At 33.2% G+C, this 13160-nt stretch overlaps 1 long non-coding RNA gene across 33 annotated transcripts in view, besides 1 other annotated feature; it reads left to right on the forward strand.

The window, feature by feature from the left end:
* Positions 1–13160, forward strand: part of LINC02377 (long intergenic non-protein coding RNA 2377) — a 338568-nt gene that overhangs the window by 75812 nt on the left and 249596 nt on the right. The window lies entirely within an intron of this gene.
* Positions 4148–4207: an enhancer, noted in NCBI's record as "active region_21903". NCBI's record gives its function as "activates an Ori minimal core promoter by ATAC-STARR-seq in GM12878 lymphoblastoid cells {active_cell/tissue: GM12878}" and the evidence as "EXISTENCE:reporter gene assay evidence [ECO:0000049][PMID:35858748]".

A 13160-nucleotide genomic window follows, 5' to 3' on the forward strand; every position in this document is an offset into this window, starting at 1 on the left:
CACATCCTTTGTGAGTTGGATTCCTAGGTATTTTATTCTCTTTGAAGCAATTGTGAATAGGAGTTCACTCATGATTTTTGTCTGTTTGTTATTGATGTATAGGAATGCTGGTGATTTTCGCACATTGATTTTGTACCCTGAGACTTTGCTGAAGTTGCTTATCAGCTTAAGGAGATTTGGGGCTCAGACGATGGGGTTTTCTAAATATACAATCATGTCATCTGCAAACAGGGACAATTTGAATTCCTCTTTTCCTAACTGAATACCCATAATTTCTTTCCTTTGCCTGATTGCCCTGGCCAGAACTTCCAACACTGTGTTGAATAGGAGTGGTGAGAGAGGGCATCCCTGTCTTGTGCCTGTTTTCAAAGGGAATGCTTCCAGTTTTTGCCCATTCAGTATGATATTGGCTGTGGGTTTGTCACAGATAGTACTTGTTATTTTGAGATACGTTCCATCAATACCTAGTTTATTGAGAGTTTTTAGCATGAAGGGCTGTTGAATTTTGTCAAAGGCCTTTTCTGCATCTATTGAGATAATCATATGGTTTTTGTCATTGGTTCTGTTTATGTGATAGATTACATATATTGATTTGTGTATGTTGAACCAGCCTTGCATTCCAGGGATGAAGCCAACTTGATCATGGTGGATAAGCTTTTTGATGTGCTGCTGGATTTGGTTTGCCAACATTTTATTGAGGATTTTTGCATCGATGTTCATCAGGGATGTTGGTATACAATTCTCCTTTTTTGTTGTGTCTCTGCCAGGCTTTGGTATCAGGATGATGCTGGCCTCATAAAATGAGTTAGGGAGGATTCCCTCTTTTTCTGTTGATTGGAATAGTTTCAAAAGGAATGGTAGCAGCTCCTCTTTGTACTTCTGGTAGAATTTGGCTGTGAATCCATCTGACAAAGAGCTAATATCCAGAATCTACAAAAAACTTAAACAAATTTACAAGAAAAAACCCACCAAAAGTGGGCAAAGGATATGAACAGACATTTCTCAAAAGAAGACATTTATTCAGCCGACAGACACATGAAAAAATGCTCATCATCACTGGTCATCAGAGAAATGCAAATCAAAACCACAATGAGATACCATCTCACACTAGTTAGAATGGCAATCATTAAAAAGTCAGGAAACAACAGATGCTGGAGAGGATGTGGAGAAATAGGAATGCTTTTACACTGTTGGTGGGAGTGTAAACTAGTTCCATCATTGTGGAAGACAGTGTGGCGATTTCTCAAGGATCTAGAACTAGAAATACCATTTGCAGTGATCCCATTACTGTGTATATACTCAAAGGATTATAAATCATGCTACTATAAAGACACATGCACACATATGTTTATTGCAGCACTATTCACAATAGCAATGACTTGGAACCAACCCACATATCCATCAATGATAGACTGGATTAAGAAAATGTAACACGTATACACCATGGAATACTATGCAGCCATAAAAACAGATGAGTTCATGTCCTTTGCAGGGACATGGATCAAGCTGGAGACTATCATTCTGAGCAAACTATCACAAGGACAGAAAACCAAACACCACATATTCTCACTCATAGGTGAGAGTTGAACAGTGAGAACACTTGGACACAGGGCAGGGAACGTCACACACAGGGGCCTGTCATGGAGTCGGGGGCAGGGGAAAGGTTAGCATTAGGAGAAATACCTAATGTAAATGACAAGTTAATGGATGCAGCAAACCAGCAAGGCACATGTATACCTATGTAACAAACTTGAACATTGTGCACATATACCCTAGAACTTAATAATAATAATAATAATAATAAAAGAATTTTCCTTCTCTCTCAAACTGCTCCCTTATTTCTTTCTTCCTACTTTTCTCCTTTCATGAAATAATTTTCATTCCTTCTTAAATGTTATCAGTTTTCTTTGCATTTTGTCTAAAATATGTTATGACTTTTATCCAGAATAAAGTGGAAGTCTCCTAAATATCTGTCAGTGATAGGGATGAACTACTGTCAGAATGTTTTGTCCAGTGGGCATGAAACAGGAAAAAAAAAACACATAACATATAGGGAAATAAAGAATTTGGGTAAGCAGCTTTTTTCTCCCATTTTTTGTCATCTCTAAAATCTCTCTAGCCAATCTTTTACAAAATATCCCATCAACTTTATGCACACCAAGACTAACGAACTTACTTTTCTTTAAGATTAATTTAACAGTATCTATGATCAATTGAAAGTTGTCATGGTTCTTGCAGCATGCCACGTAGAAAAGTAGACATTTTGTGGTGAAGACAACAAATGTTTATGAAAACTAACCCAGAACAAGTGGTCCTATTGCAAACCACAACAAAACACATGGGATATTCTATTTTCTTCCCCTTATGAAGAAAAGTGTATTTACTTCCTTAAACTTTGTTGTCTCTTTAATCCAGTAGACGTTTATTGACTGTTTCAGTTTTGCACTGTGTTATGTAGAGGAAACAATGTAAGCAGGATGGCATGTGCTCTGATAAGGAAAAGAGATACTATATATACAAAAGATAGTGAAAGGTAGCTAATGACAAGTAGTGGGGTAGAGGGGACAATACACAGAAAAAGAGAGAGAGGAAAATGCATGACTGAGGAACTTCAAAAGTTTCATGCTTTTAATGTGGGCATTGGGAACTAGAAGTTCTTCAAGGCATAAATAAGAGACAAGCATTTCAAAGAGTGTAAAACTGTGAATAAGAGCAAGGTTACACATACTATTTTTAATGATTATAAGAACCGTCATGTCTCAAAAAAAAAGAGCCATCTTTTTTACCTGGAGTCTTTTGAGATAATTGTGTTACTTATTTTTTAAAAAGATCTAAAATATAATTGAATTTAATGCTAGTTTAGGGTATAATCCTTTGTCCACATGTAACTTCCAATTAGGTTGTTAAGTGGCTCTTTTTATTTATCTATCTATCTATCTATCTATCTATCTATCTATCTATCTATCTCTCTCTCTAGTTACTATTATCTGTTTATCCTTAATAACTTATCTACCTATTCAGTCATCCATGCATCTGTCCATCTGTCATTTTGTCTTCTCTCGCTACCCATTATTTTTGCATAAGACATATAAACAATAATACTGTAATGTCTAAAGGAGTTATTGAATTATACAGTGGTACTATAATCTGATAATGCTTCAGAGTGGATCTGACATTTATGATTAGAAAAAGATTTCAGTGAGTGATGTGATTTAGCAAAGAGGAAGAAGATGATTACTTTTAATCATCTGAGAAAAAAGTATAGACCCAGAACAAAGGCTGACTACTTACCTCATTTGTTTGAAATTTGTGGTTTTTCTAAGATTATAGTAGTTAGATAGAAGTTCAAAGAGCAGGTAACAACTACATTTAGAAAACTAAAAAATATTTTCAAATTAACTGCTCAGTGACAACAAGCTTTTTTATCTGTTAAAATACATATTATGGGTGAAATTATAATTTCTCCACCTAAATAGTTGTAGGAAAATGAAGAGTTATATGTTAATACAATTTCTCACTTTCTACTTTTCAAAATAAATTTTAAATTAATCTTTTAAATTTTAAAATAATTTATTAGAATAAAATTAGTGTCACTCTGTTTTTTCATATATACATGTTGATCAGGTTAATTAGGCATTAATCCCACAAAGGAAGTATATATAATATAATATACAACTATTTGGATCTTATTATTAATTTTAAAATACAGTTCATAACTGTGCTTATTAAAATAGTGAAATATTTTTCTTTTGAAAAACGTGTAACTTGATATCTAAATACTGTCATTGTGATTCTGTTGAAAATTCTCTGTGTTTTAAAGTAGTGATAAAAATCCACTTTGAATACAATTTCATGAAAAGGTGAGCATCTATTACTGTGGCTTGCTGACTATCTCCTGTAAGTTCAAAGGCTATAGAATTTCTAAGATATCAACATACTATTGAGGTAGTAGATCAGCAGGGCTTGTTTTCCAAGCACTGGTGATGACCCCAGTCTCCACACTGCTGATCAGAGCAGGATGTGGTTGAAACAGTGTGCAGTGAAGAAGCCTGCTGAAACCAGCCCATGGTGACAGAGAAAAGCGATCTCTGGTTTTCCTCGCTGCTTTTTAGCACGAAGACACTCCTACTGGTGCCATGAAAATTTACAAATGACATAGCAACAGGTCATGATAATGGCCCAGAAGTTACCTTATATGGTTCTGGAAACTCCCTGCCCCTTTTCCAGAAATTTCTGAATAACCCAGCTCTTAATTAGCATATACTTAAAAGAGGGTATAAATACCACTGCCAACAGCCCATACACTGCTACTCTGGGCACACTGCCACTGGGGTAGCCCTGTTCCACAAGGGGCAGTACCTCTGCTACTGCTGCTGCTACTGATGATGATGTTCATTGCTGCTTCAGTAAAAGTTGCTGACACCACAGGCTTGCCCTTGAATTTCTTCCTGAGTGAAGCCAAGAGGTCTCTGGGGCTAAGCTTCAGTTTTGGGGCTTGTCTTCCCTGCATCTCTATGAACGTGTAAATGTAGCATCTTACTTTCAAGACAAATTCAATAATCATTTCATTTGCAAGGCTTTCCATGGCACACTTAGTACCAGAGTCAGCAAACTTTTTCTATAAGGAGCCAGATGGCAAATATTTTCTGCTTTGTGGGCAGTACATATGGTCTCTGTCACAACTACACAACCCTACTGTTGTAGTGTGAAATATAATCCTCAGGGACAAGATCGGTAATAGCAGAAGCCACAAATAGTAAGAAAACTCACAGAGAATACAGGACTCAAGAAACAGTATCGGTATCAGCTGCCCCTTGTTACTTTAAGATTTTCTTTCCCCATATCCTTACCTGTGAATTTTTTTTTAGCTTAATAAGGATGGTGTTCTACTTAAAAATCTCCTTTCATTTTCCCTTGCTTAGAGTATACTCGACCCCTTTTTACCACCTTAGTAAGCAGGTTAATTAAGTGAGCACTTTCTGGTAGTGGTCAAAAAACATCCCTGACTCACACCTTTAGTTTTCCTATTGATTGCACCTGCAATCTGTGTTACAACTAATACTAAGAAGATAAATCCCTTTTGTTCTGATAGTCTCAACTTCTTTCTCTAAGACAGGCAATACATTTACTAGTGAAAAAAATAAAATTTAAACCCCCTCATATAAATATTGCATTTGATTCCATTCTTTTTACATGTAATATGCTCTATCAAAATGTGAAGCAAAAAGATCCTCTTTATTTTCTAAAATTTTCAGAAGGATGTTTTCAGAAGGATGAGTCAAAATCGGCCCCCTCCAAAGAATTTAGACTGCCAACACTTAGACATTTATTTAATGCTTCCCCACTTCTTCATATACATATATGTATGTATATATATCAATGTTAAAAATTATATAGAGGGGTTATTATACAATATTCAACTAGTTAGATTATACATTTGATTCCATATTCTCTGGTGTGTATAAAATTTGGAGAGTGGAGGGACATTAAGACTCATCTGGCCAGTGGGAGAGTCGTAGATTTAAGTTTGGCAAATAAATCACCTTTTATTTAGAATTCCAAAGTGCAGTCTCAGTAAATAAAGCACACTGAGTTGAATGCAGAGTGAGGCATAATCATTATACTTATTATTATGTAGTCATTGTTTAGCTCTCGTATTGTCTTTATAGATATGCTGTGGCTTCCAAAGAGCAGTGAACTATTTTATTTTATCTTTATATCCCAGTATCTGGCACAAAGCTTGGTACACCTAATGCATTAAAAATGTTGAGTAAAAGTGTGAAAAATTCTGCAGGCCATTGAATGATCTGTCCCTAAGTCTACTTAGGTAGAATTGTGTGACAAAAACAAGAGTCTGCAAACATTTTCTGGATGTCTGCACATGTGAATAAGTGAATGATGCATTAAATATAATACACACTAACACATATCTAATTAATTTAGCTTTTTATGCCTGATAAAAGAATAATGAGAAACTCTAAAAGATATTGCTTTGAGATATTTCCCTCTGGACTCATTTACAAGCTAACAGAAGGATGTAAATCTGGTAATCGGTAAAATTTGCATATTTGTGAAAGAAAGATCTGTGAGATGATAGAGCACTAGGAACTTTGCTCTATTTGATATTTTATAAGTTCATGCCATCAGATGGTGAATCCATTTGGGGAAAAAAAAATTCCTCCTAGAAAATTTGACGCTAAACACTGAAATGTAATAATATCCAATGTGAGAATGTCTCCTTTGACTTTGTATTTGCATTTCCCTGTACATCACAAAGAGGCTTGCACATCACTCATGAGTAAATTAATATGGTAATAATGGTAATAAAATACAAAACTATTTGAAGATCCTTGAAAAATTAAAAAATCCATCCCTCAGATTATATGAATAGCCTTCTATTATCTGTGTTAATATCTTAAAATTAAATGTTCTCCCCCAAAATCAAATACAAACCTAAAACGTTTCTGTTTCCATTGAGTAAGTGTTTCTGACTTAGGGAATACAGCTAGCAGTCAGTGATCTGACAATATACCCTAGATACTGTAAGAGGAATAACACGTAAGTGAACACTCTACAGAGGAGAAGCCATAGATAAAATGGGAGTTTTAAGAGCCTGTAATCAAAGATGTGTAAGAAGCAGAGTGGCACATAAAAGGATCAAGAACCTTAATTTTTGACAAAATATGGGTAAAAAAACTTATAGATGCATACTATTTAATATTAATATTATTAATATTTTCTTTTAAACAGATTTTGTAATGTTTAAAAAAGAACCAGCCCTTTGTGCTTGTTATGCTCTCTATCGGTTAGATAGATCTTCACTTAATTTACTGTCTTATCACTATGTACTCATCAATTACTTTTGGGTCTTTTTTTAAACATCTTCTTTGACCACCTTATCTACAATAATTACTTTTGCCATTCTTTGCTACCTCTTTATTCTACTGTGGTAATAGTGTCATATACTATCATATATAGAAATTATAGCACTTTACAAAGGCACACATTGTGATGTTAGTGATACTGTGTCATTTTTGCTACTGTGTTCTCAGCTATTGGAATACATCACAGGTGCTCAATAAATAATTTTTGAATGCTGAATGTTGAATGAATGAATGGAGAAAATTCCCTGTTCAATCTAGTATTGATATTAAATCTCAACATATTCAACTTAACCAACACCTTTCATGTTGTACGTTCATAATTTTAATGAATAAATGCATTAACCATGTAATTTTTAAATTGAATATGTATCTTTGTTAAGATATTCCTACATATATAATTGCAGAATATATTCAACAAATATATTTGAATCTATTATGAATAATGCATGGTTTTCTGTTTTTAATTGTTAAACTACAAGTGTTTTAATGCCAATGGACTTACTTGCTGACAAATTTTATTTTAACTAACAAAAACGAGGTTAAAATAAAAATGACTTACAGTTAAAAATGGCAAAAAATGCAAACTACAAAAGTATAATTATGGTCAATAGTAAAGAGCATGAATGTTTTAAAATAAAAATACCAGGCTATTTTTCAAATTTTCTTGCATATTTTCATGTTGATTTGGTTCTCAAAATGAAATAAAATAAATATCTGAAGACTATTTTGGCAACTATAGAGATAAGTCAATAGATATATAACATAATCATGCTCAATAAGAAATTGCTATTTTGATCATTTCTTTCATTTCTGTTGTCAGTAACTGTGAAAATAACCTAAGAATATAGATGACACTCTACTCAGGAATGAAACCATTGCTTGCCCTCCAAAAGAAAAAAGATTATGAAAACAAAATAAAGAAAAAAGTCAGTTTTGACAGAAAACATAGCATGGAAAAATAAACTAAATTAAAACACAAATTATCTTATATATATGATATTGCTAAATGTGTTAAAATGATTATTTTCTGCACTATGATTTTTATTTTTGTTTAATATGTTATTAAGACAAAAACATTTCTTAGAAATTAGGTTGAAAGTTATTTACTTTGTAGTGAGCTAGATATTTGAAAGAAATTAGCTGCTATGATTTCTTTTTTATTTTTTTAAATTTTATTTTATAAGAGCACTAAGCATGAGATCTACACTCAACACGTTTTTTAAATTTTTTATTTATAATTATAATGGGTACATAATAAGTGTATATATTATTGGGGTGCATGCAATATTTGGATACAGGCATGCAATGTGTAATAATCAGATCAGGGTAAATAGGGTATTCCTTTATCATTTATTTTTGTTAGAAACATTCCAATTTTACTCTTGTAGTTATTTTGAAATAATAAATTATTGTTGACTATAGTCACTGTTGTGTTATCAAATACTAGATAATATTCATTCCAACTATATTTTTGCACTCGTTAACCACTCCTACTTTATGTCTCATCACCACTACCATTCCCAGCATTTAGTAACCATAAATCTAGTCTCCATGAGTTCAGTTGTTTTAACTTTCATTTTTCACATGTAAGTGAGAACACGCAAAGTTTACTCAACAAATTTTAAGTGTTAAATATAATATTGTTATCTATAGGTGCAAGGTTGTATATCAGAGCTCTAGAACTAATTTCTCTTGCATAATTGGAATTGCGTATGTGTTGACTAGTAACTCCCCATTCACCTCCCCCAGTCCCTGATAAACATTATTCTATTCTTTGCACCTATGTTTTTGTATATTTTAGATATTTTATATAAGTGGAATCATGCAATATATGTATTTCTGTGATTGGCTTATTTCACTTAACATAATGCCCTCTGGGTTCATTTATGTTGTTCACATGTTGTAGGATTTCCTTCTTTTAAGGCTGAATAATATTCCATTATATATATGTATACCACATTTTCTTCATTCATCTGTTGGTGGATATTTAGATTGTTTACACATGTTGGCTACTGTGAATAGAGCTGCAGTTAGTGTGGGAGTTGTTATATCTCTTAAGGATTTCAATTATATTGGAGTAATATTAAAAGTGGGTATGGTAGCTTTATTTTTTTAATTTTTATTACATTATTTTATTTCATTTTATTTTATTTTATTTTTGAGATGAAGCCTCGCTCTGTCACCCAGCTGGAGTGCAATGGCACAATCTCAGCTTACTGCAACCTCCGCCTCCCGGATTCCAGCAGTTCTCCCACCTCAGCCTCCTGAGTAGCTGGGACCAGAGGCACTCCCCACCATGCCCGGATTTTTTTTGTATGTTTAGTAGAGATGGGGTTTCACCATGTTGGCCAGGTTGGTCTTGAACTTCTAACCTCAAGTGATCCACCCCCTTGGCCTCCCAAAGTGCTGTGATTACAGGCATAAGCCACCACACTCTTCTGAGTAGCTTTATTTTATTTTTAATTTTTGATGAATCTTCATTCTGTTTTCCACAATGGAAAAAGCTAGATAGATATCCAATTTCCCCCACACCGTCTGTTGAAGAAACTATCCTTTCCTTATTGTGTAACGTGGCACCTTTATAGAATGTGATGGTTAATACTGAGTGTCAACTTGATTGGATTGAATGATACAAATTATTGATTCTTGTGTCTGTGAGGGTGTTGCCAAAGGAGATTAACATTTGAGTCAGTGGGCTTGGAAAGGCACAACCACCCTTAATCTGGGTGGGGCCAATCTAATTAGCTGTCAGCATGGCTGGAATACAAGTAGGCAGAAAAATGTGAAAAGAGACTGGCCTAGCCTCCCAGCCTACATCTTTCTCCCATGCCGGATGCTTCCTGCCCTCTAACATCAGACTCCAGATTTGTGAGTTTTGTAACTGGGACTGGTTCTCCTTGCTCCTCAGACTACAGACAGCATATTGTGGGACCTTGTGATGGTGTGAGTTAATACTTAATAAACTCCCCTTTATATATATATATATTTATATATATAATATGTTTTATTATATATGAAATACATATATATGAAATACATAAAATTATATCTAATTATATATTTATTAATATATTAATATCCAATTATATATAATTATATGTAAATATATATAATTATATAAAAATATATATAATTTTATATATATTTCATTAATTCTGTGTCTCTAGAGAACCCTGACTAATACATTGAAGATCAATTGAATATCTACGTGTGAATTTATTTCTGAGCTCTCTATTCTGTTCCATTGGTCTGTAGTTCTGTCTTTGTTCTAGTACCATACTGTTCTAACTACTGTACTTTTGTGATGCTTTTTATTGTCAATCAAGAAGTGCAATGTCTCCACCTTTAGTCTTTTTTTTCAAAATCGATTTGGCTATTGAGTTTTTTTGTGGTTCCTTATGAATTTTAGAATTGTTTTTTTCTGTTCTTATAAGAAAGGTTATTGAGATTTCAATAGGGATTCCATTAAAAGTTTAGGTCTCTTTGTTTAGTATGGACATCTTAACAATATTGAATCTTCCAATCCATAAATATTAAATGTCCTTCCATTGTTGTGTGCCTCACTTAATTTCCTTCATCAATATTTTGTAGTTTTCAAAGTACACATCTTTCACTTTGTTAGTTAAATTAAGGCTAAGTATCTGATCATTTATAAATGCCCCACTTTGTTGATATGTTTCAAGTAACATAATTTTCATAACAGCCCTTTTATTAATTATATGTATTTAAAAGTAATGGATATATCCTTCTATATATTCTTCAAAAATTAACTGATTTTCTTTAGGAGATGGTTTTAAAACAGTGTTTTGCTAGTCAAGTAATATGTATTAATTTATATTCTAAACTAGACATTCTGCTGAAGTTCAGATATTAAAGTATGAACAAGACAAATGTATTTATTATTTTTAAATCTGTGGTCTTTATGGGGAAGATAATTAAAAATATAACTAATTATTAAGAAGTAATATTTTTAAGTTAAAGGAAATAAAGATGCTGTGAGAGAGGCATTATATTTAATTGTATGTATATATAATCCAAACGATCTTATATCTAAGTGCTAAATTTTTGCTATGTTTTAAATTTTTTTTTGTGCTCAAATTTTGTGAAACTTGCCCAAAGTAAAAATTCTGAAAAAGCCATCTTTGAAATGCTTTATTTTCGTTCCTCATGTGGGCTAGTCATGCCCCCAAAAAAATTCTCCCAAAGGATACGCAGTTGATTTAAATTATTCATACTTTTAAATAATAAAAAGTAAATTACTTTTATATTTTAATTAAGTTCACTCTACTACATATCTTTAAATGTAACTAATGTAATGTAAGAAAACTAAGCTTACACTTTGTCTTTAAGTCTTCAACCATACCTTAAACCCTACACAACATATTTAAATTTAAGAAATTATAAGAAATAGTGGCTAGAGAATGTTAAGTCAGAAGAAAAACTAGACTTTGAAAACCTTGTTTTTCTTCAAAATGCAATGTCCTCTCTGTGCCTCTGGATGTCATAAGTATCAAAAGAAATAATTTATGACCAAGCTATTGTGTTTTGTATTTTTTACCTGCTACATACATACCTAATAAATAATCATTTCACAACTTCTCTTTAAACCATACTATGGTCAATGAATCATGTAACATTTGTGATTGTCATCAGGTGAAACTGGGTCTTACAGAGCTCAGATAAGCCTTCGGTGATGACAGAATGTGAACCCTTCAGTATCAACACCAACTGACTTCCATCTATAGATTATGTTAAAAAATAAAATAATCTTTAGCACATGATCTAAGCCTAGAAGGCACAGAAATTGGCATCTTTATAGTATCTTAATAGTTATGGTTTGAAATTGCATAGTCCTCTCTCAACACTATAATTATCTTCTTTGAAAAATTTTTTGAAGGTAAGTATTTTTCATCATTTTATTGCACAATAGTATAACAGATTATACTTGGTTTTGGTGAGATATTAAGTTATACTCGTTGAGAAGAAGAAATATTTTGACAAGTGCCAAAATAAGCAACATTCTCTCTTCAAGATACATGCTGTTTTATACTGTAAGAATAGGCTTTTTTAAATATGTTTTTGAAAGATAATATACATCTATTAAATTTCTAAAATATGTGGTTGTAATTTTTCACTATTATTATTTAATTTCATTGGATATACAATATAAATTTTTGAGGAATAAATTATTGTAACAATGTAGAGAATGATAAATAAACTCCTAAAATGGCCATTCTGTTAAATGTGGTGAGTTACATGTTTACTGTTCCTGTGACTATATTTAAACATTGAAATGTCATCTTTCCATCCATTTAACTTATAATCTGGTATGGTTTGGCTGTGTTCCGACCCAAATCTTAACTTGAATTGTATCTCCCAGAATTCCCATGTGTTGTGAGAGGGACCCAGGGGGAGGTAATTGAATTATGAGGGCTGGTCTTTTCCATGCTATTCTCGTGATAGTGAATAAGTTTCATGAGATCTGATGAGTTTCTCAGGGGTTTCCACTTTTGTTTCTTCCTCGTTTTCTTTTGCTGCCACCATGTAATAAGTGCCTTTTGCCTCCCTCCATGATTCTCCCCCGCCACATGGAACTGTTAAGTCCAATTAAACCTCTTTTTCTTCCCAGCCTCAGTTATATCTTTATCAGCAGCATGAAAACGGACTAATACAGTAAATTGGTACTGAGGGTGGGATGTTGCTGAAAAGATACTCAAAAATGTGGAAGCAACTTTGGAACTGGAAAACAGGCAGATGTTGGAAGAGTTTGGAGGGCTCAGAAGAAGACAGGAAAATGTGGGAAAGTTTGGAACTTCCTAGAGACTTCTTTAATGGCTTTGCCCAAAATGCTGATACCAATACGAACAATAAAATCCAAGCTGAGCTGGTCTCAAATGGAGATGAGAAACTTACTGGGAAGTGGAGCAAAGGTGATTCTTGTTATGGTTTAGCAAAGAGACTGGTAGCATTTTGCCCCCGCCCTAGAGATTTGTGAAACTTTAAACTTGAGAGAATTGATTTAGGGTATCTGGCAAAAGAAATTTCTAAGCAGCAAACATTCAAGAGGTACCTTGGGTACTGTTAAAGGCATTCAGTTTTATAAAGGAAGCAAAGCATAAAAGTTTGGAAAATTTGCAGGATGGTTATGTGATAGAAAAGAAAAACCCGTTTTTCTGGGGATAAATGTAAGCCAGATGCAGAAGTTTGCACAAGTAGCAAGAAGCCTAACGTTAATTCTCAAGACCAAAGAGAAAATGTCTCCAGGCCATGTCAGAG

The sequence above is a fragment of the Homo sapiens genome, chromosome 4 (genome assembly GCF_000001405.40).
Source record: "Homo sapiens chromosome 4, GRCh38.p14 Primary Assembly".
NCBI classification, from domain to species: domain Eukaryota; kingdom Metazoa; phylum Chordata; class Mammalia; order Primates; family Hominidae; genus Homo; species Homo sapiens.